The sequence below is a fragment of the Homo sapiens genome, chromosome 2, assembly GCF_000001405.40.
Source record: "Homo sapiens chromosome 2, GRCh38.p14 Primary Assembly".
In the NCBI taxonomy this organism is placed as follows: Eukaryota; Metazoa; Chordata; class Mammalia; order Primates; family Hominidae; genus Homo; species Homo sapiens.
The window spans coordinates 97,371,133-97,392,982 of NC_000002.12; the positions used below are offsets into that span (position 1 = coordinate 97,371,133).

General features: G+C 42.1%; 3 pseudogenes, besides 1 other annotated feature; all 3 read left to right on the top strand.

The window, feature by feature from the left end:
• Positions 963-1,867, top strand: IGKV2OR2-7 (immunoglobulin kappa variable 2/OR2-7 (pseudogene); annotated as a pseudogene).
• On the top strand, positions 5,123-5,841 carry IGKV2OR2-10 (immunoglobulin kappa variable 2/OR2-10 (pseudogene); annotated as a pseudogene).
• Positions 14,206-14,706: an enhancer, noted in NCBI's record as "H3K4me1 hESC enhancer chr2:97987861-97988361 (GRCh37/hg19 assembly coordinates)". NCBI's record gives its function as "activates a minimal SCP1, AML or CMV promoter by ChIP-STARR-seq in primed H9 embryonic stem cells {active_cell/tissue: H9 hESC(primed)}" and the evidence as "EXISTENCE:reporter gene assay evidence [ECO:0000049][PMID:30033119]".
• On the top strand, positions 14,939-15,218 carry IGKV1OR2-11 (immunoglobulin kappa variable 1/OR2-11 (pseudogene); annotated as a pseudogene).

Below are 21,850 nucleotides of genomic sequence, written 5' to 3' on the forward strand. Positions count from 1 at the left end.
TAACTGTTCACAAGACTGATAGAGGCTAGAAGACAGCGGGATTACATATTTAAATGCCAGGTTCGGGGGACTCAGCAAAGGGTTCAATATCCAGTTAAAACATGTTTCAAAAATAAAGGTAAAGTAAAAACATTTCTTTATTAAAAAATGAAGAGAAATGATTACTTGCAGAGATGTGCTCTATAAAAAATTCAAGAGGAAATTCTTCAAAAATCACAGGAAATCACAGCAGATCGTAGCTTGAACGCACAGCGAGAAAAGAAGACTTCAAAAATAATAAAGAAACAAGAAAGAAGCAAGAGACAGCCAAACAAACGTGTTCACTTCTATTTATATGAGATTGTAGCACAGGGAAAACCAAATTATTATAATGAATATCTGAATACCAGTTACCTTGATTGGGATGGGGGAGCAGTTGATGCCTGGGAAGGTGCACAAGGGATGAATCTGGAGAATTTGAAATATTCTAGAGATTCATCTGGATGGCGAACATACGTAAAACTTAGTTGCATATTTAACATTTCCATCCTTTGTGAGTGTTTTATATCAATTAAAAAGTGTAAGAAGCCAATCCTGCACCCTGAATCCAATATGAATTTAAAAATAAGAATCATCATATGTTTACGGAATCTTAACCTTGCTAAGGAGAAGTGAGAAATGCACCTGGGAAATTCTAAGTAACGAGAAATCTAAGAGAGAAGACAAAGAGAAAAGGGAATTTATCCTACTCATGCAGCACAGATTTTATCTCTATTGGTTTCTCTCTAAACAGAGACAATATTTAAGTCATTTTGCCCTCAAGAGAGGCTCCCACCATCCCCTTGGCTCTTTCCACCCCACTGCACCCATCAGGGGATTTGCATATTGTCCCCTAGGGAGGACCTTCCATTGTGAGTCTGAGATAAAAGCTCAGCTCTAACCTTGCCTTGACTGATCAGGACTCCTCAGGGCACCTTCTCACGATGAGGCTCCCTGCTCAGCTCCTGGGGCTGCTAATGCTCCGGGTCCCCGGTAAGGACAGCAGGGAGATGAGGGAGGAGAATGGGGTGGGAGGGTGAGCTCTGGGGGCCCAATGTCTCCCATGTGTGTTCAGTCCACGTGTTAGATATGCAGGTCTTTTTCTGCAGCATGAGGCATATGATGTACTGATCTCTGAGAGGGAGGAAGATTTTAGAAGGAAGGATATGTGCCCTGAAGAAACACAAGTCTTAGAAAGAGGATGATGGTATGGGAGACCACTTTGTGCCTTGCATCTGTTGAGTTCTTTTTGAAATTGGATATTCCTGAAATTGCAAAGAAATTATACAGGCTGAAATAATAAATGGAAAATTATGAACATGATGCACAATATTTGTACATAACTTTGCCCTTTTCTGTCATCATTCCAGGATCTAGTGGGGACATTCTGTTGACCCAGACTCCACTCTCCCTGTCCATCACCCCCGGAGAGCCGGCCTCCATCTCCTGCAGGTCTAGTCGCAGCCTCCTGCATAGTAATGGAAACACCTATTTACATTGGTAGCTGCAGAAGCCAGGCCAGCCTCCACAGTGTCTAATCTGCAAGGTTTCTAACCGGTTTTCTGGGGTCCCAGACAGGTTCAGTGGCAGTGGGTCGGGCATTGATTTCACACTGAAAATCAGCCCGGTGGAGGCTGCGGATGTTGGGGTTTATATTACTGCATGCAAGCTACACACTGGTCCCCCACAGTGCTACATCCTGGAACAGAAACCTCTCTGCTGGGATTGCCCAGCTGCCCACATGTGCTGCTTGTCTGGGGAGCAGCTCAGCAGGGTCTCTGAGTCTGCAAAAGGGGAGGCTGTTGGAGAACTCAGGGGCAGGTTTGCTGTTGAGGACTCTGGGCCATGAATCCTCAGCTGTACCTCAAGCACTACCTGTTTGTTTACTTCTTTATGTTTTCAAGACAGGGTCTCACTCTGTTACCCAGCATGAAGTGCAGCGGTGTGATTATGGCTCATTGCAACCGTGAAATCCCAAGCTCAAGTGATTTTCCTACCACAGCCTACGGAGTAGCTGGAATCACAGGGGGCATGCCACCAAGCCTGATTAATTTTTGTATATAGTTTTGGTAGTCACGGGGTTTCGCCATGTTGTCCAGGCTGCTCTTGAGATCCTGGGCTCAAGTCATCCACCCAATTCGGCCTCCCAAAGTGCTGAGATTAGAGGCATGAGCCATCGGGCCCAATTCCCGCTCTTGCTGATGTACCTGTCACCTGACACAGCCTTGACAGTCATAAGTAACAGGGGTATGAGGAGGTTCTAGGGCCCTGTGAGTTAAAAATCAGGATGAAAGGGAAAGGAGAATGGAAGCTCATCTTCATCCTCCCTCCTTGCCTACAGTTGTTTATTAAATTTATTCAGCAAAACAGCCAGACAATTGATCATTTCTGGCAAGACACACTGAATACATCTTAGGGTTTAACAGTTTGGGATAGATAGATAGATAGATAGATAGATAGATAGATAGATAGATAGATAGATATAGATAGAGATATAGATATAAATATAGACATAGACATAGATATGGATTGATATAGATTTTTTTTGAGACAGAGTCTCCCTCTATCGCCCAGGCTGGAGTGCAGTGGAGCAATGATCGCAGCTCACTGCAACCTCTGCCTCCCAGTTTCAAGCGATTCTCCTGCCTCATCTCTCAAGTAGCTGAGATTACAGGCTCTCGCCAACATGCCCAGCTAATTTTTGTATTATTAGTAGAGACGGGGTTTCACCATGTTGGCCAGGCTGGTCTCCAACTCCTGACCTCAAGTGATCCACTGGGCTTAGCCTACCAGAGTGCTGGCATTACGGCATGAGCCAGCGCACCCGGCCATATTTTCAAGAAAATATTTGGTTATATTTAAAATTGGCATTTTCCTAGTTTGTTTTAACTTCCGCTTCTTCTATTTAGCACTCATTGCCCACTCCGTAAGACAGGAGAGACAGCATTCTCCACTAGTTCTCCTCAGAGGGAGCTGGCTGAGGACAGTCAGTGAAATCTTGGTAGTGAGCGTCAAATAGATTTTGTAATTTCATAGCAGATACAAGATACTAATACTGAACCTTTTTTTAATTACAATTATCTCTCACTGATAGAAAAATGGAGTTCTTGAAACTCCAAAAGCTGGTTTTAGAAATAAAAAGCAAATCCTGGAAGATGTAGTATACTAAAGATGTAGTATTTTCCATGGATCACTGGGAAAATAAAGGATGATGGAAACTTTTTTATTTCCCAAAGTTCAGAATTCAAGATTGGACAGACTGCAGGAATAGGGGCCTTAGGGGTACAGGAGAGGTCGGCTATTGTTCAATTAAACTGCCCTTGGTTTACGGTGGGTGGGATGTGGATGGTGGTGGTGATGGCAGTTGATGTGGACCCACAAAGGAGCCAAATATGTTTCTTGCGAAGAATCACAGAGTTGAAGGCACTGCTGCGTGGCTTCCTGGGCGGAGCCTGTGCCACTGGGAGTCTCACAGGAAAGTAATGTCGTGAGTAGGGCTTTAGGTGTGTAATCACCAAAGGGTTAGTGAAGTCCCTGTACAAGGAGACCTGAGGTCATGTCACTCAGTCTTAGTGAAATCACAGCAGCCAAGCAGAGCTTCTGAAACTTATTCTATCCTTAGAGGAGGTCTAGCAGAGACCACCGTCTGGGTCTGGGAGATGTCAGAAGCACTGACATGCTGAGCAGAAGGCCCAGCAAGACGTAATCCAGCAGGTTTTGATAAATGACAATTTTGATATTAAGTTGTCATAAAAAACAATAAAAGGTTTTGAAATAAGTAAATGTATTATTTTTACACAATGTGGTCATTGCCTAAAAATAAATCTGATTTCCATATTCTAACAGTAATGGTATAGAAAAATGTATGATTTGCATATAGTCACTTAAAATAATGCTCCAAAAATATTTATGAATTATTCAAGAGCATGTCTGTTACTGCCGTGAGGTGATATGATTAAAGTAATGTTCGTATCAAAAGGACAAAATATCTTTTTTTCTGGTTAAAAAAATGAATCACATCAGAAATTATTGTCTATTCTAAGATGATGGATCCCATTGTGAATGAATTTAAAATTGTATTTCCAAGCAGAAATGTCAAAAAAAAAGGAAATCATGAAATATAGCAAGTAATTTGTCACACGTACAAAGAATGACAAGTCTTTAGAGTAGTTTTCCATTCATGAGTGAGAACACACATCCAACCCAAAATCTACTGGTCTCACTCCCATAATCACTAGTGTGGAGACTAAAGGTAGTGCAATTTAAATTACATTCCTAACCAAAAAAAGGTTCAAAAACAAAGAAAGGATGCTTCATAGAAAATATCTTGCAAAACAAAGAATGACATGTCTGTAGAAGGTATTCACAAGCAGGGACTCACATCTAACCAAAATTCTAGGGATTTCACCATCACAAACACTACTTTGGAGCCTGGAGATGCTGCACATCCTCCTGTGAGCAGAACACTCACTGGGACCCTGCACAGTGTGATGGCCCCAAACATAAAGCTCTCAAGGAAGCTCCGCCTCTCAGCGTGGAAGGAGAGGCTGCGGTGCCAGGGGATGTGTCCACAGAGAGTCGAGTCAGGTGGGCTCAGGCAGTTGCCTGGAGAGTCTTTGAGGAAGAGGACATGAGGCCTCAGTCACAGGTACATGCTCCTCTTCTGTGTGAACAGGGGCCAGGTCTCTCCAGGGCACCTTCCAGAGCCTCTTCCTTCCTAACTCCTTGGGGTGCTCAAGCCCTACAGACCCTCCAGTGTTGGCTGCCACATCCTCACTGGACCAGCCGCTAAGGTTTCCTGCTGTCGTCATGGCTGCAGGGATGCTCAGTCACATCACTGGGAGGAGACCCTAGTGTGTCCCATCCTCAACTGCTACAGGCATACTTGACTTGAACTATGTTTGTTTTGCTCCATTGAACATTTTATGTCACATTGTTCACAGTAGAGACATACCCCCTCCACCACTGACCCTTTCCACACTGCTGCACCCACCAGGTGATTTGCATATTGCACCCTAGGGGAGGACCTTCCCTTGTGAGTCTGAGGTAAAAGCTCAGCTCTAACCTTGCCTCGACAGATCAGGACTCCTCAGTCCATCTCACAATGAGGCTCCCTGCTCAGCTCCTGGGGCGGCTAATGCTCAAGATAGAAAAAATATGAGGTGGGAAAATGGGGTTGGAAGGTGAGTTCTGGGAGCTCCATAGCTTCCCATATTTATTTCAACCATGTGTTAGAGGCACATGGTCTATGCTCCAGGAAAGAGAATTCATATTTTTGTCTTAAGAATAATCAGGATTCACCTCCAAGGAACAATGACCTCTGATTAAGATCTTGAAAATAAAGAGTTCCCTGCTGGCTGGTAAATAATGGGTTCATTTTAGAAAGTCTACTTTCCATGATATAAATCAAAACTTGAAAATATATGTAACTGTAAATCAGTATCATAGAGAAATCATGAAAGCTGCTCATAATGTGTCTATACAAACTTGCACTTCTCTGTTATTATTTCAGGATCCAGTGGTGATACTGTGATGGCCCAGACTCCACTCTCCTGGCCTGTCGCCTCTAGAGAGCCACCCCCATATCCTGTAGGTCTAGTCAGAGCCTCTTGTCCAGTGATGGATACACCTATTCGTATTGGTTCCTGCAGAAGCCAGGCCAGTCTCCACAGCTCCTGATCTATTTTGTTTCAAACCGGGCCTCTGGAGTCCCAGACAGGTTCAATGGCAGTGGGTCAGGCACTGATTTCACACTGAAAATCAGCCGGGTGGAGCTGAAGATGTTGGGGTTTATTACTGCATGCAGGCTCTGCAGCTTCCTCCCACAGTGGTACAGCCCCATAGAGAAACCTCCCTTCTGGGGTGTCCCAGCTGCTCACATGCACTGCTTGTCTGGGGAGCAGCTCAGCAGGGTCTCTCAGTCTGCAGAAGAGGAGGCTGTTGGAGAATTCAGGACAGAGTTTGCTGCTGAGGACTCTGGCCCATGAAAGCCTCAGCTGCACCTCAGTCCCACATGTTAAGGCTCCATCAGCTGCCACATGTAGCCACCTGCTCTGGGAACAGCCAGCTCTGATGAAGGAAGAGTGAATGAAGCTCATCTTCACCCTCCTTGTCTGGCCCACATTTGTTGAGTCCATTTATTTGCAGAACAATCAGATCATGGATGCAGATTAGTGGTAACAGAAGTGAAAAACATGTTGCAAACGACTGGTCTGGGGATAGTTTTATACATGGTAACAGTTGTTCATGTTGAGAAATTGCTATCTTCCCACTTTCCAAACTTTCTCTCTCCTTTACCACTCACACGAACCTGCCCTCCCTAGTACTATGGTGGAGAAAGCATTCTGCACCAGCTATTTTCACGGGAGTATGGCTAAGAATAATTAGTTATAATGTCTGATTGTTTTTTACTACTTATAGATTTTTAAAATCCAGGGGAAATATAAATCCTAATCCCGAAATAGTTTGATTTACCTCAATTACCTTTTGCTGACTGAAAATGGAGTTCTTACAATTCCAAAAGTGGGATTTGAAAATAAACAAAATAACTCAGGAGGAAAACATAAAGTTTATATAACATATCACAGGAACAATGCAGAATTGCATGAGATTTTTATTTTCTTCTCAAATTCTTAGAATTTTAAAAGTATTTTACTGACATAGTACTTTAGAGAGGAAATATCTAGTACTATGTTGTCATAAGAAAATCATTCGAAGAATGAATAAATGCATTATTTTTACATGACCCTATTTTTTTCCTGAAAATAAATCTGAATCGTCTATTTTAGTTGTAAATGCATAGAAAAATTATGCCCTTAATAGATTCTATTAACTCGTCATTTAGCATTAGGTATGTCTCCTAATGCCATCCTTCATCCCTCCCCCCACCCCACAACAGTCCCCGGAGTGTGATGTGCCCCACCCTGTGTCCATGTGTTCTCATTGTTCAATTCCCACCTATGAGTGAGAGCATGCGGTGTTTGGTTTTTTGTCCTTGCCAGAGTTTGCTGAGAATGATGGTTTCCAGCTTCATCCATGTCCCTACAAAGGACATGAACTCTTCATTTTTTATGGCTGCATAGTATTCCATGGTGTATATGTGCCACATTTTCTTTATCCAGTCTATCTTTGTTGGACATTTGGGTTGGTTCCAAGTCTTTGCTATTGTGAATAGCGCCGTAATAAACATACGTGTGCATGTGTCTTAATGGGTGCAGCACACCAACATGGCACATGTATACATATGTAACAAACCTGCACATTGTACACATGTACCCTAAAACTTAAAGTATAATAATAATAAAATTAAAATTAAAATAATAAATAAATAAATAGATTCTATTGACAATAATGTTCTAAATTTATATGCTTTCTTAATATGAGGGCTGCGGTCTGATACATATCTGTATACATTTTGCCATGGAACTTTTAAACCTAACAAATGCTTTCCGTTAAAAAAGCAATAGTGCTTTCTTCACCATAATACTAGAGAGGGCAGTTTCGTGTGAGTGGTAAAGGAGCAAGTTTGGAAAGTGGGAAGACAGCAATTTCCCAATATGACCACCTGTTACCATGTATAAAACTATCCCCAAACCAGTCGTTTCTAACATGTATTTCACTTGTGTTACCACTTGCCTGCTTCCGTGATCTGATTGTTCTGCCAAATAAATTTACATGAACCCGAGTAATGAGTGATGTCTTTTACATGTGAAAACACTGTGTAGAGACACAAAAGGCTCATTGAATCTGATGCAGGCTAACAGCTTAAATTATACTTGAGATGATTTATGTCAAGATAACGGATTCCACAGGAAGTGCAATTAAAATTCCCATGTGTCATTTCTGTTGGGTTGAAAAGTTGCATGGCAAAATGTATATAGATGTTTAGTAGACCATAGCCCTCAAATTAAGAAACATAAGCACTTAATATGTTATTCAAAAATACTAATTAATGTTTCTTTGAGCCTAAATGTTATTACAGAACGCAGTAAAAGAAAATAAGATGTAAGTAGCAACAGCAGGAGATACAGCAATTCCGTTGTCACGTTAGCCCTCCTGTGATTGACAGCACCTAGTCACCTTGAGTTTCTGCTTTTCTGTGAGACAGAAGATAAAATCAAAACCCATTCAAGGCGGTTAGATATATTCTTAGGAAAAGCAAACAAATGTACAACCTACCTGATGCTGATATCCCAAAGGTCTATATTCTCAAGTCAAAATGGTGAAAAGTAAATGATTCCAAATCTGAAAGGAGAGAGACACAAGGAGAATCAGAGCATAATTAAATTTATTACAAAGAAACCTCAAAATATGGTGGACTAAATGTGACAAGGTTTCTGTGTCTGTGCCATGGCAGTGCAGAGGCAGGCACGTGGCCTTGGTGGTGTGGGTGGCTCTGCTCCATGAGGTCACTCAGGTGGACAGGAGGCACGACCACCCTGAGAGCACAGCCTTCCTCCTTCCTCACAGTCACTGCCCCCATGGTCATCCTCAACAGCATGAGGTGGAACTGAATGGAGAGAAAGCTGTTTTCTTCTAAGGATCAAAAATAAATACAGAAACAAATAAAACCTCTAGCTTTCCATCAGGGACAAATGTACTTTTGACTCAGTCACAGATTTGAGAAATTTTCCATTGAGCGGGTCTGCTGGTAAACCCACGTTCATTGTTTGTTTGTTTTAATCTGAAAATGTGTTTACATGATTCTTGAAGATATTCTTTGACAAGAAACTTCCATATGTGGTAGCCTATTTGAAGTTGTCATTTACTATTTCATCATTGCTGCTAAAAAGTCATTTGTTAAAAAATCCGTGACTCTAACTGTTCTTGTTTGAAAGGAATACGTCTTTTTAAGATACTCAGATTCCTTTTAAGCTCTTCATCTGGCCCTCCTTTTTTCTGATTCAATGTATTGTTTAATTTTTTACTTATGACTAATTAATCAATTAATTTTCACAATCACAGAATCAAATGTCCGATAAGTTGCTATGTCAAAGACCTGTCTGAAGATGGCAAAAACACTCCACAATAAACAAAAGACAACACCATGGTCTCAGGAACACTGGGAAAGTAGGAGTGCTGGTGTCCCATTCTCAACAGGGAGCCCGAAAGGTAGAGGCGGGTCTTTCTTGTGACCTGGGCACCGGGGAGGAGCCACCCATGTGCTGAGTTGTGGGAACCTGCCCCATTCTCTGAGACTGGAAGCAAGGCCCCGGCTGTGTCCCACCTGCTATGGACTGAATTGTGCCCTCAGATTCATGTTGAAACCCTAATTTCAATATGACTGTAGAAATTAGGACCTCTAAAGATGTAATTGAGGTCATAAGGGGGGTCCCTGATCCAGTAGAATTCGTGTTTTGTTGTTTTTGCTTTGTTTTGTTTGTTTGCTTGTTTGTTTTTGAGGCAGAGTCTCGCTCTGTCGCCCAGGCTGGAGTGCAGTGGCGCCATCTCAGCTCACTGCAAGCTCCGTCTCCCGGGTTCACACCATTCTCCTGCCTCAGCCTCCCGAGTAGCTGGGATTACAGGTGCCCGCCACCACTCCCGGCTAATTTTTTGTATTTTTAGTGGAGGCGGGGTTTCACCGCGTTAGCCAGGATGGTCTCGATCTCCTGACCTCATGATCTGCCCGCCTCGGCCTCCCAAAGTGCTGCGATTACAGGCGTGAGCCACTGCGCCTGGCAAATTCGTGTTTTTATAAGATTCAGAGAGCTCTCCTTTCTCCCTTCTCTCTCTAATTGCCTTCCGCTCTATGGAAAGGCTGTGTGAAGACACCGTGAGAAGGTGGCATCTGCAAACCAGGAAGAAGGTCTTTACCAGAAAGCAAACCCTGCTGGACATCGATCTGGGCTATTCCAGGCACCAGAAATATGAAAATTAAATTCTGTGGTTTCTGCCATCCAATCCAGTTTTTTTGGTGTGGCAATGCAAGCTGACTCATCCACTTTTCCCACTCTCTCTGAGCAGGATCAGCCTCAGGAGACCCTCGTGGACGTGGGGACCTGGTGTTGCTCCTCTTCCTCCTGCTTTTCCAATTCTCTGGTGAAGAGGGAGAACTCGGGCTTCACCTTCAGTTTCAGTTCTGTGTATTAAACATGAATTTAATGCAGTTTCTTTGCATTAAACATCCTTCAAGATGAAGTCTGTCGCCCATTTTGCTTGTTCATCAGAATTCAGTCAAACTGAATGAAGTAGTTATTTAGAATTAACACTTGGGGATGTTCATAATTGTTCCCCACTTATGTGACAGTTGGGATATTGTGCGGTGCTCATCTCCAGGCCCCTCCCTGTGTTCCAGGAGACAGGGTCACTGTCACCAGCAGAGCCAGTCACGGAAATAACAGTGTCCTAGCCTAGCTCCACAGGAAATAAGGGCTGACGCTGATCTCCTGCTGGCTCCCACTGCCCCCTGGACACGATGCCCGCCTGGGTCAAGGGGGTGAGTCTGGACAGACGTCACTCTGGCCATCAACAGCCTAACTACCTTCATGACCTCCCATTGTGAACAGAGTCCCAGAAGTTGCTTGAGCCATGAAAGTTGGACAGAGAAATCCCACATCACTGCAGTCAGAGGGGGGCTGTGAAAAGACCGTGGGGGGGGGTTTCATACTATGATCATGCAGCACTGAGCCATGGCTGCCACTCTGTCTGACGGGAGCCCCCGGGGGAAGATCCACTCACACTGTGCTCTAGAGGTCGTTTTTGTCACCATCTTGGTTCTAGCTGGTTTGGGCCAGTTTCTGTAGCGCATCCTCTTTTGTCGAGATCCTGTTCCAGTCAGCGTTGTCATGACCAATGTTGGGATCGGTGCTCAGAACACAAGTCCTGATGATCTCCTACCTTACACTCGCTGCCTTCTGTGAATCAGATATTCTGATAAGGATCCTGTTGGATCCTACTCGAATCAGGGGCCACACAGACCCTCACTGAGGGCTGAGGACCACAGGCATCTGAAGATAAGCAGAGGTCCAGAGAATGATAGCCCCTGACTGTCCTCTGTGAAGACAGCTTCTCCCCAGATGGCTGAGGACTATCTTTGGCTGTGTCCTTCTTTCTGAGTGATAATGAGGGATAGAGCAGGTCTCTAAGCCAAACCACAACATTTCAGGGACAATGATACCTATGCAGGCCCTCCTATGTGTGCTGCTCTAACCTAGACATAGGTGGCACTGGATACGCTTAGGGAAGTGAGGAGATTTATAATCAGAAGGAAGAAAGAGGGAACGAGAGGAGGAGAGAGAGAGAGAAGAGCGTGTGATGTGTGTATAGTACCAACACTGAAGAGTCATTCTATAATGGTTTAGTGCTGAGTATGGTGCTCAAATGATCAGGCTGTATTCCATGGAAACTATACAGGTACCTTTCACAGGAAAAGAGCCTTTGCACATGAAATTAAGGATTATAAAACAGGCAGATTATCCTGTATTGACCAGGTGGGCCCTAAAGGGGCCTGTCTTTGTTAAATGTCATTTTTAAAAATCCTGCAGAAGAGAAGGCCATCTGAAGACAGCAACAGAGATTGAAATGATTTGGACTCAAGCCAATGAAAGCTTAAACCAACAAAAGCTAAGAGAAGTAAAAAAAAATAGACTTGCCCCTGGAGACCCTGGAGCAGCTTTGTCTGATGACAGCCTGCTCCTGGCTGCTGAAACTGATGCTGGACTTCTGGCCTCCAGAACTATAAGAGAATATATTTCTATTTCTTTAAGCTACCAAAGTTTTGGTAATTTGTTATAGCAGCCCAAAAATACTAATACAAATGGGGCTTAGAATAAATCCAGCCTAAAGGTAGTATAATGATTGGGAATCTCCACGTTCGATTCTCTAATGTTACACATATTAGAAGATTTTATGAGGAAATAGCGTACAGGAAACCCCACGGTGTATACTGGAGCATCTGTTAATTATATAATAAATGTTGATAATTCTTAGTAGAGCATGACATCTGGGTAGTAATATCTTATCTAGAATCTTCATTCTAAGATATTCAAGGATGCAGAAAAGGGGCCCTAAGTAGTCTTTTCATACATATATATGCATAGATACATTTCCTGGTGCATCAACTAGAGAAACCTTCAGGACAGCCCTTGATATCCTTGGTGCTACTTTTCACAGGTGAGTAAACTGTTCATCAGAGCACAGGGGTGGTTTGCCCAAAGATACATGGCCAGCAATTATCAGGGCTGAGCTTGGAACCCAGCTTAAATATGTCGCTTCCACATGGCCACATTTGTTCCATGGAGGAATGAATGGCTTTTAAACTCAGAGAAGAGACAAAGCCGGAAGGGTGGTGTGGAATTCTCAGCAAGCGCCTTGCTACCTCTGAACCTTGCCATGATTACCACAATTATAAACTCAGGCCTTTCTGCAGTTTTGTCCACATAGCAAAACTTCCTCCAAGTCTTTAAAATTTAAATGTCTTTCTTTCAGATTTGAGGGCAGGAGCACATCTCGCATTGCCCTGAACACTTTGCTTCTTTTCTACCATCCTCATCTCCCTGAGCCGGCTCTTCCCTCTCAAAATGTGTCCTATCAATCTGATTTCTTCTCCTAATGTGAAAACAAATGAACAAATAGCCCCCTACTTTTGTCATCTCCAGAGAACACAAGAGCTAATCACATACCCAGAGAGTATGAGAGTTTAAAGGATTTATCCAAGAGCTTTTACACATAAGAAGTATTCTGCTGCTAGCCCTCTTCACAGTGAAATGCCTGTGTGTCTTGTTAAAACTGACACTAAAAAATGACAAGATAGAGCCATTTTGAAGAACGGAGGGTGACCATTCCAAGATAATTCAGGTGTTTCCTAAATTTTCTAAATATCCCTATGCGTTAAAAAAAAGATTTGACAAGAATTCAGACCATACCGTCCAAGAAAGAATGTTTTTCTGCTTTCTTAGGTTGGCTCTTTCAGGGATAATGATGCCTATGCAGGCAGCATGTTTATAATGCACAGGAAACACGGGGAGGAAACAAGGCAGTGAAGGAGGAAAGAAAGGAGGGACTCCAAAAGTCTCCTCAGCAAAGAGCTACCGCTGAGGATGGCTGGAGCTCAAGCCCACGTGGAAACAGGGGAAAATGTCTCAGTATTATTCCAGCTGAGAAGAGAGGGAGCTGGGGTATATACACCTCTCCTGTCCTCACTGATTGAGGGCTTTCTGAGAGGATGCTCATTCCAGGTGCTGTGAAAGGCCATGTGTGCAGGCAGGGCTGCCTTCTCCAGTTTGACATAGAGCAGTGAGGAACAGATATGGCCATGGGGAGTCAGCAGAAGTACAGCAAAGGGGAAAGGCAAAGGGTAGCAAGAGTGACTGCTACATTCACCTCCCCGCACAAAAAAAATGTGTGTATTTCAATCCAGAGCTTCTTCTCTCTGAACCTAAATCTTAGCAAGCAGTTTGCCAGTAATTTCCCTTGAAATTCAGGCCCCTGGAAAGCAGCAGGAGATCTGGGTACAGGCTATACCACTGTGGTCTGCTCACTCTTAGTGATGCGTGAGTAATGCTCCCTGGACTCCCCAGGTTCTAGTCTTCTCATGTCGATGTAGTTGATTCCACTTCCCTTGCTGCACAACCAGGCTGGGATGCCTGGGCAGAGGCAGACATGTGAGGTATAGGGGTTCAAATCTGTTTCCAAGTTTTATCCAGATCCCAAGTATTTCTTCACGTACATGGGCGGTGGCTTGGCAGGAGATGCAGATTCTCTCTCCTGGAAGTGAGGCAAGGAGGCTGGCGTCTGGGTAAGGATGATGTCCCCACATACTGCTAAAGAGTCAAAGAGGAAAGTGGCATCGATGGTGCAGGGCAGAGACATGCACTGAGTAGCTGCTGCCCTCACTGAAGAGAAAGTGTTCACTGACTTGGCCTTTCCCCAGGGCCTCTCCCTCCCCTGCTTTCCAGAAAGCCCAGTTTTTTGGGAGCTGTACCTGAACACCTGGGAACATTCCGGTGGGAAAGGCAGCTCAGAGCATTAGCAATGGTAAGTTACCTTGTTCTTCTTCCTGTGGAGACAATTGATCATATGGGTCAGCAAGACGGAGGTGCTGTCCATTTAGTCCCTGGTTATTACAGAGACCTATAGCTCTGGATTATGGAAGATCTGTGAGTGGCACAGGCATTGAGGAATCACAGCATCATTATTGTGCATCTGCAGGGAATGGCTTGAAAATAGACTGGTAATAACAAATGTTTCAGGTCACTACAAAATACCTTTGAATATTTAAATATGCTTCTGACAAAGACTTTTTTCCCACATGAAACAATGGGAGCAACGTGACAATCACAGAGGTGTTGTTAGTATAACAAAGGGATTGTCACTCCCACAATGTCCACTTAAATAACTTGAAGACCTGATAGCCCCATTCTCTAAGACATTATCAGACATTCCCTACAAATGGTCATACTCTCCTATATACTCCCGATACAACTCTAAAATATATGACTCCATGTAGTCCCTAGGTTTGAATTAAATTTTGACTTTTTTCTCCCAAAATATCTCTTGTCGAAACAACGGATGTAGAGAGAAATACATTCCCTCCAGGCAAATCTGTCAGGCCTGGTCTGACCTGGGACCCTGCGGACACTGCCCCTTTGCTGAGTTACCGAGATGAGCCAGCCCCGTGGCTGTGCCCAGCCTGCCCCATCCCCTGCTGATTTGTGTGTCCTAGAGCGCAGCCCCCTGCCCTGAAGACTTCTTAATAGGCTGGTCACACCCTGTGCAGGAGTCAGTTGCAGTCAGGACACAGCATGAACATGAGGATCCCCGCTCAGCTCCTGGCCTTCCTGCTGCTCTGTCTCCCAGGTAAAGAAGGAGAACACTGGGAAGTTAGCCACCCAGTGTGCTCAGTACAGCCTGGCTCTTCAGGGAAATCCTCGCATAACATGGTGAAAAGTGTAAATATTTGTTTTTGTATTTCCAACCTGAGATGCCAGATGTGACATCCAGATGACTCAGCCTCCATCCTCCCTGTCTGCATCTGTAGGAGACAGAGCCACCGTCTCTTGCCAGGCTAGTCAAAGCATTTACAACTATTTAAATTGGTATCAGCAGAAACCAGGGAAAGCACCTAAGTTCCTGACCTATAGGGCATCCAGTTTGCAGAGGGCGATGCCATCTCAGTTCAGTGGCAGCGGATATGGAAGAGATTTCACTCTCACCGTCAGCAGCCTGCAGCCTGAAGATTTTGCAACTTATTAATGTCAACAAGAGAGCATTTTCCCTCCCCCAGTGTGACAAGTCATAACATCAACTGCTAGGATAGCAGATGAGTGAGGCCGGGTTGCCCTAGATGCCCCTCCTAGTGCCTCAATCTGCTGAGTTGTTTTCCAGATGCAGCCAAGTTTTGAAGGTCGTCTGGAAATTTTGGTAAATTGTGATGAGGTGGCTCCTTTGCACCCACTCTCTTTCCTCCTCATCCCCAGAAGCAAAGACATGAAATGCGAGTCCTGATTTAATAAAGAGATTTAACCACCTGAGGAGTCTGTTATGGGATGATTGGAATTCTTGTAGCAAAAGAGAAGCCACTCTAGCCCTTCCAAGCAGGAATCGTTTTAATTTATGAAATCAGTGTCTAAACTACAGCTTTTCAAGGCCTGGTTGATGTTAGTCACGGAAGCAGATACTAGAGACATGATTCTCTGGTGCTCCTGCAGAAACCAGGGTGCACCCTACCCTGCAGGTGTGAGCTGCCTAGCCACATGGTCCTTGGATCTGTCTGAGAAGCCCAGAGTGCAGGTGCTGATGCTCTCAGCCTCCTGCAGTATGTCTCTAGGTGATTCTCTAGGTCTCAACTAAGTCCACTTGTCTGTCTGCAGGTGTCAATGAGCATTGAATCATTCTCTTCTGACTTCCAAATCTCGTGGAAGGACCCCTCAGTGAACAACTCTACAGGAAAGTATAGAGGGAAAGGTGGTTCTGAAGAATGCGCTTTCAGAAGTGATGGTGATAATGAGGAACTGACAGCTGAAAGCCCAACATGGTCAGTATTTTCACAAAATAGTGAAAACTTTTGCCAGTTATGCATGGCCTCAGAATACATTTGAATATACTTGCACTTGTCACATAGCAACATAACTTTATTAAGTCATAGACACAGCTTAAAAATCAGGAAATTGTATGACATACATAACAATCATTTTACAAACAAATGAAAAATATTTCTTAACAAAGAAACCAAAACAACAGAAAAACCTGAACATTGGTGTAACCTTTTTTAAATTATGAAAATTCTTTGCTACTCAACATGTATCCAGAATCCAGCAGGATCATTAGCACACTGAGAGCATGATACATATGCTAAATAGCAGAACGACCTTCAGTTCACTGAATGAGAACCTTTGTTTAGCCATGGTAGTTGATAACAGGTGACCTATAAAAGGTTTAAGAAGCTATGTTCTATGTGATATTTGTTTCAGCTAAAGAGATACCGTGGTGGTGGGCACCATTGGCCCCAGCTACCAGGGAGGCTGAGGCAGGAGAATCGCTTGGACCCAGGAGGTGGAGGTTACAGTGACCCAAGATCATGTCACTGCCCTCCAGCCTGGGTGACAAGAGCAAACTTCTGTATACTATTATGGCAATGAGGCTATTTTTAAAAATTTCAATGGAAAGCCACATGTTGCAGCCACACCCAGCTTTATTTTCTAATCCATGCAACATGACATTTGAAAACAATTGGAAGATTGTAAAGTTGGAGAAACATAATGATCTGTCCATGGAATAATAAAATGCTTTGATGTTTAAATGGAGGAAAAGTTTGTAGGAACCATAATAATTACCAAGGTGAAAGAATAACTTAAAATTGTGTGTATCTGTGTTCAAAATTATTAGACTTCATTCACCATTTCAACTTGGTTTGGGGAGGTTGCCCACTCCTGCTGCCTTCATCAGAATATGGTGCCTGGGTAGATACTGCCCTTTAGCCTTGACCTCAGATGAACACAATCCATAGGTTAGAGACAAGCTCTGCTCCCTGCAGCAAAACCACCCAGCTGAGCCCTGTCTTGAAGAGTCATGTTAATACTAAAATGATCATCCAGAAACACGATAAAACTTGATGTAATACACTGACTTTTAAGTAGTTGGTTATCAATCATCATTGTGCAAAAAAAGTGACCAATGTAATACTTACACATTCACCCATATAGGATGTATCTTATTATAATTAGTGGCAGAAGTATAAATATTTGGTAATGTATTTATAAAGCTACCAATGAGAAATTTAAAAAGAAATTTAAAAAATTATATATAAATAAAAAGTGTAAAATTTACCTTATTTATGGAAACTCCACATATATATATATAAACATTAATGTAGGTACATATATATATATTTATTTGATAAATAGTTGGGTGCGTGTAGTTCCATATGCATATATTCATGTCTAAATAAGGCCATTTACATATATATATGAGAAACATATGCATATTTACAAAATGTTTTAATAAATTAAATCTCTTAAGATAATTCTATTTATTCCTCATCAAAATAGTTGGTTTCTAGAACCAGATATAGTACCTGCTCTGGCTATAGGAATGTCCTTGAAATTTGATGTATTTCTAAAACACTCACCAAATTCATGTGTCACCTTAAAATATTTTTCTAACTTACTTGAGGTGCCAAAGAGTATGAATGGAGATGATTTTCCCTAATGTTAAAAATTATATCCTTGTCTCCTAGGTAAGTCCTCATTCTTTGTATGTCTACAATGATGCTATTCTGGACAGAGTTCTATCCATGGATGCTGGGCTGATGTCACATCATTCTCACAGTCAAGGATGGCCTGGAGAGTAAAAATCATAACAGTGAGCAAAGTGCAAGTGTTATATCCTTGTTCATTTTGCAGAGGGAGATCAGCCATTCAATGACATTGTCTATGGGTTTGAACAAATCATCAGACCTTAGAAAAAACAGAACAGAGGATTAGAGACAAAGTCATGGTGGAAGAGCCATGAGTAGACCTTTCAAAATGGGCCAAAAGTTGCCTAATCTATGGGGTAGAGAGCAAGTTGATCACGTAACTTGCTCAGGAAGAGCTTTTTGGGGTTGTGAAAATACTTTATATCTTGACTTTGGAGGTGGTTAGAAGGATTATTTATTTGCAAAAATTCATAAAAACTGTACATTTAAAAATCAATGTGATTTATTTTAACTATTATTATCCTCAATAAAGATAGTTAACTATATGTAGTCAGGGAGCTCAAGGTGCAACTGAGTAATGCTGTCCTCACATCTTCTATTCTTGCAGTGGACTGCAACTGTGTGAGCAAGAATGTCTGGGAGATTGCCTCAGACCTAAGAGTAAAGAGCTGTGTCTCTCTGGCAAGAGCCCAATTTTCTTTTTACTTTGATTTTGTCTTCTATTGGATGAGAATTTAAATAATTCTCATAGATTAGATCAAAGTAGCGGCTTTTTCATGTACACTTATTATTTATTGAAGCTAAAATTCCAAGCAAAATAAAAACTTATTCCAAAAGTGAAGAAAAGTTTTCACCTGTGAATTGCCACTACTCTTCAGCTTGGGAAACACAGCAAATCCTTGTCTCCAAATTAAAAGAAAAAAGGAAAATAAAACATTTAAATAAAACAATATAAATTTTTTTCTAAAATTAGTTAACTAAGCCTGTCATACCTTTCGTTTTATGACCATCACTCAGAAATTGCTATTATTAAAATTTACCTGAGTTTTAAGCATAAGAGCTGTAATGTGGCTTGCTACACCTGTTTATTAAATAGATAGAAATATACTGACATTCAATTTTATAGGCATACATAATTCAATATAGGGCTACATACATATGTAGCTATATACAGATATGCATTCATATATACATATATGTGCATTAACACACATATATGTACATTTACATATATACAGATATAGATATATTTAGATATCTATAAATACCTATATAGATAGATAGATATTTCAAATATGTATATATATATATGAACTACACATTACACATATATGTGCTTTTTATGCTTTTTATATCTGTGTTCATGTCAGATGCAGGAATTAATTTTTGTTTCTAATGCTTTTATTCGTTTTGGAAATGAAGTTTATTGTGACCACATATAATAATTCTGGAAGCATTTCCTTCTTTTTAATTCTCTTGAAGTTTGTGTAATTTTCACAAGGTTGGTTCCAGTAAACGAAACATAAGATGGAAATTTTCCTTATAGAAAAGTTTTCATTATAGAGTTCCTTTTAGTTTAGTGAAAATAGTTGCCATAATTTATTTCATTGTATTCTACTTTTATGTGTTTGCTATCCTGGGCTCTGTAATAATTTTCCCTTTTTAAATTATAGATTGTGTATTTTGCATCTTTTCTCTGTCTTTTTTATCCACCTTTCCTGCTTCATGAAGCAGCCATGGGGTTTAACTCCTTCCGGGTAATTTTTCTGAACTTTTACGCTCTGCTTCCCTTTTAAACGTAAGTTCCAATTCCAAACCATAACTTTGTAAGTGCATAAAACTGAAGGCTTTAAAGGGCACCCAAGTCATCACTTGAAGGTTTTGCTGCTTTGAAATTTATTTGGCCAGATACCTTAAATTAGGTCTCTCAGGTTCAAAGTTCCACAGATATTTAGGGCAGGGACAAAATGCTGCCAGTCTCTTTGCTAAAGCATAGCAAGAATCATGTTTATTCAAGTTCCCAATAAATTTCTCATCTCCATCTAAGACCACCTCATCCTGGACTTCATGGTCCATATCACTATCAGCATTTTGATCAGAGCCCCTCAACAAGTCTCTGGGAAGTTCTGAACTTTGCCACATCTTTCTGTCTTCTGAGTCCTCCAAACTGTTCCAACCTCTGCCCATTACCCAGTTCTAAAGTCGCTTCCACATTCTCAGGTATCTTATAGCAATCCCCCACTACCTTGATACCAATTTACTGTATTAGTTCATTTCCACGCTGCTATGAAGAAATACCTGACACAGAGTAATTTATAAAGAAAAGAGGTTTAATAGATTCACAGTATGACCCAGGAATTCCACTCTTCTCTATAGACCCAAGAGAACTGAAAACATATAGTCAAATAAAACTTGCACATGAATTCTTATAACAATGTTATTTATGATAGCCAAAAAGTGGAAACAACCCAAATGTCCATCAGTGCATACATGCAACAACGTGGATGAACCTTGAAAACATTAAGTTAAATGAAAGAAGCCAGTCACAAAAGGTCCCACAGTAAATTATTCCATCTCTATGAAATGCCCAGAATAGGCAAATCTATAGAAGAAGAAGGTAAATTAGTGGTTGTCAGGGGCTAGGAAGGAAGAGGATGGGAAATGGCTGCAAACAGCGTGAGGTGTTTTGGGTGGTGATGGAAACATTCTGCAGTGACATTGTGGTGATGGCTACACAACTCTATAGTAAAAGCCAACGAGTTGTTTACTTAAAGTGGGTGAACTTTATGCCATACAAATTATATCTCAATACAGATTTCTTTAAGTCTTCAAGAAGCCCTCTGGTAAAGAAATCAGCCTAACCCAGCCCTGAACTCATCTGACCACCAAAGCTTTTCCTCACATTGGCACCCTGAGAAACTGGTATTCTGAAGAACGCGCTTTAGGAAAAACTGCTTTAGACAACAGGAATTTGGTAAGAAGAACTTTGTTTCTGTGAACACATATTTGCATGTCAGGGTACATCCTTTTGTATTTTATTTATATTTAGTGTGTCTATGTCTTGTCTTCTTGGTAGCTTTACAAGAATTTCGAGGAGAGAAAGTATGATTTTGTCTCTTTGAATTCCTACTTCTCACCACCCATAATGTGGTGCACACATAAATATCTGTAAATATGCAGTTAGAACTTTGCATCACTAATGAGTTAATTAAACTATTCAACAAAGCCAAAAATACATATCATGGACCCTCGAGTGCCAGGCACAGTTTCGGGCACTGGGGATACAAAAATGAGGGAGCTTACGGTTTAGTCTGAGACCAGGCCAGGAGCCGCGCAGTAGAGGCACCTCTCCCTGGGGTGTCTGAAATCATTCCTGTGAACTCTAAATACCTGAGACAGGGCTCAGTCAATTTAAGAAGTTTACTTTGCCAAAGTTAAGGATGCTCCTGTGACACAGCCTCAGGAGGTCCTGACGACATGCACCCAAGGAGGTCAGGGTACAGCTTGCTTTTACACATTTGAGGGAGACACGAGCCATCAATCAATATGTGTCACATGTACATTGGTTTGGTCTGGTAGGGTGGGACAACTCAAAGTTGGGGCTTCCAGGTCAGAAGTAGATAAGAGACAAAAGGTTTCATTATTTTGCATACTCGATCAACCTTCCACTGAATACACAATTTAGTCTGGCTCAGTGAATCTGCATTTTTACATCAACAATAGGGCAGAGGAAGCAATTAGATATGCATTTGTCTCAGGTGAGCCTCAGAGAGATGACTTTGAACAGAATGGGAAGTAGGTTTGCCCTAAGCAGTTCCAAGCTTGACTTGTCCCTTTAGCTTAGTGACTTTGAGGTCCCAAGATTTAGTTTCCTTTCACATTCCCAAAGCACATTTGTCATGTAGTAGAAATTATTGAACACCTTAATGGAGGCACCGTGTTTGAGATTCACTCCCTTGCTATTGAAAAGCAGACACAACCAATTTCTTCTTCATTGTTGGAAAAGGTTGCTTTCCCTTTGGTTGGGCACCAGTGGAAGACTTGCACTGAACAGCTATTTTGGCCAAAACTATGTCTCTCAAAGGTGAGTCCCACTGGGGCAAATCCAGGTGCTCCTGGTCTGAGCAGCCTGTAGGAAGGACAGGCGCAGATAGAGCAAGGGATGCACCCTCCTCTACCGTCCACTCCGCATCCACC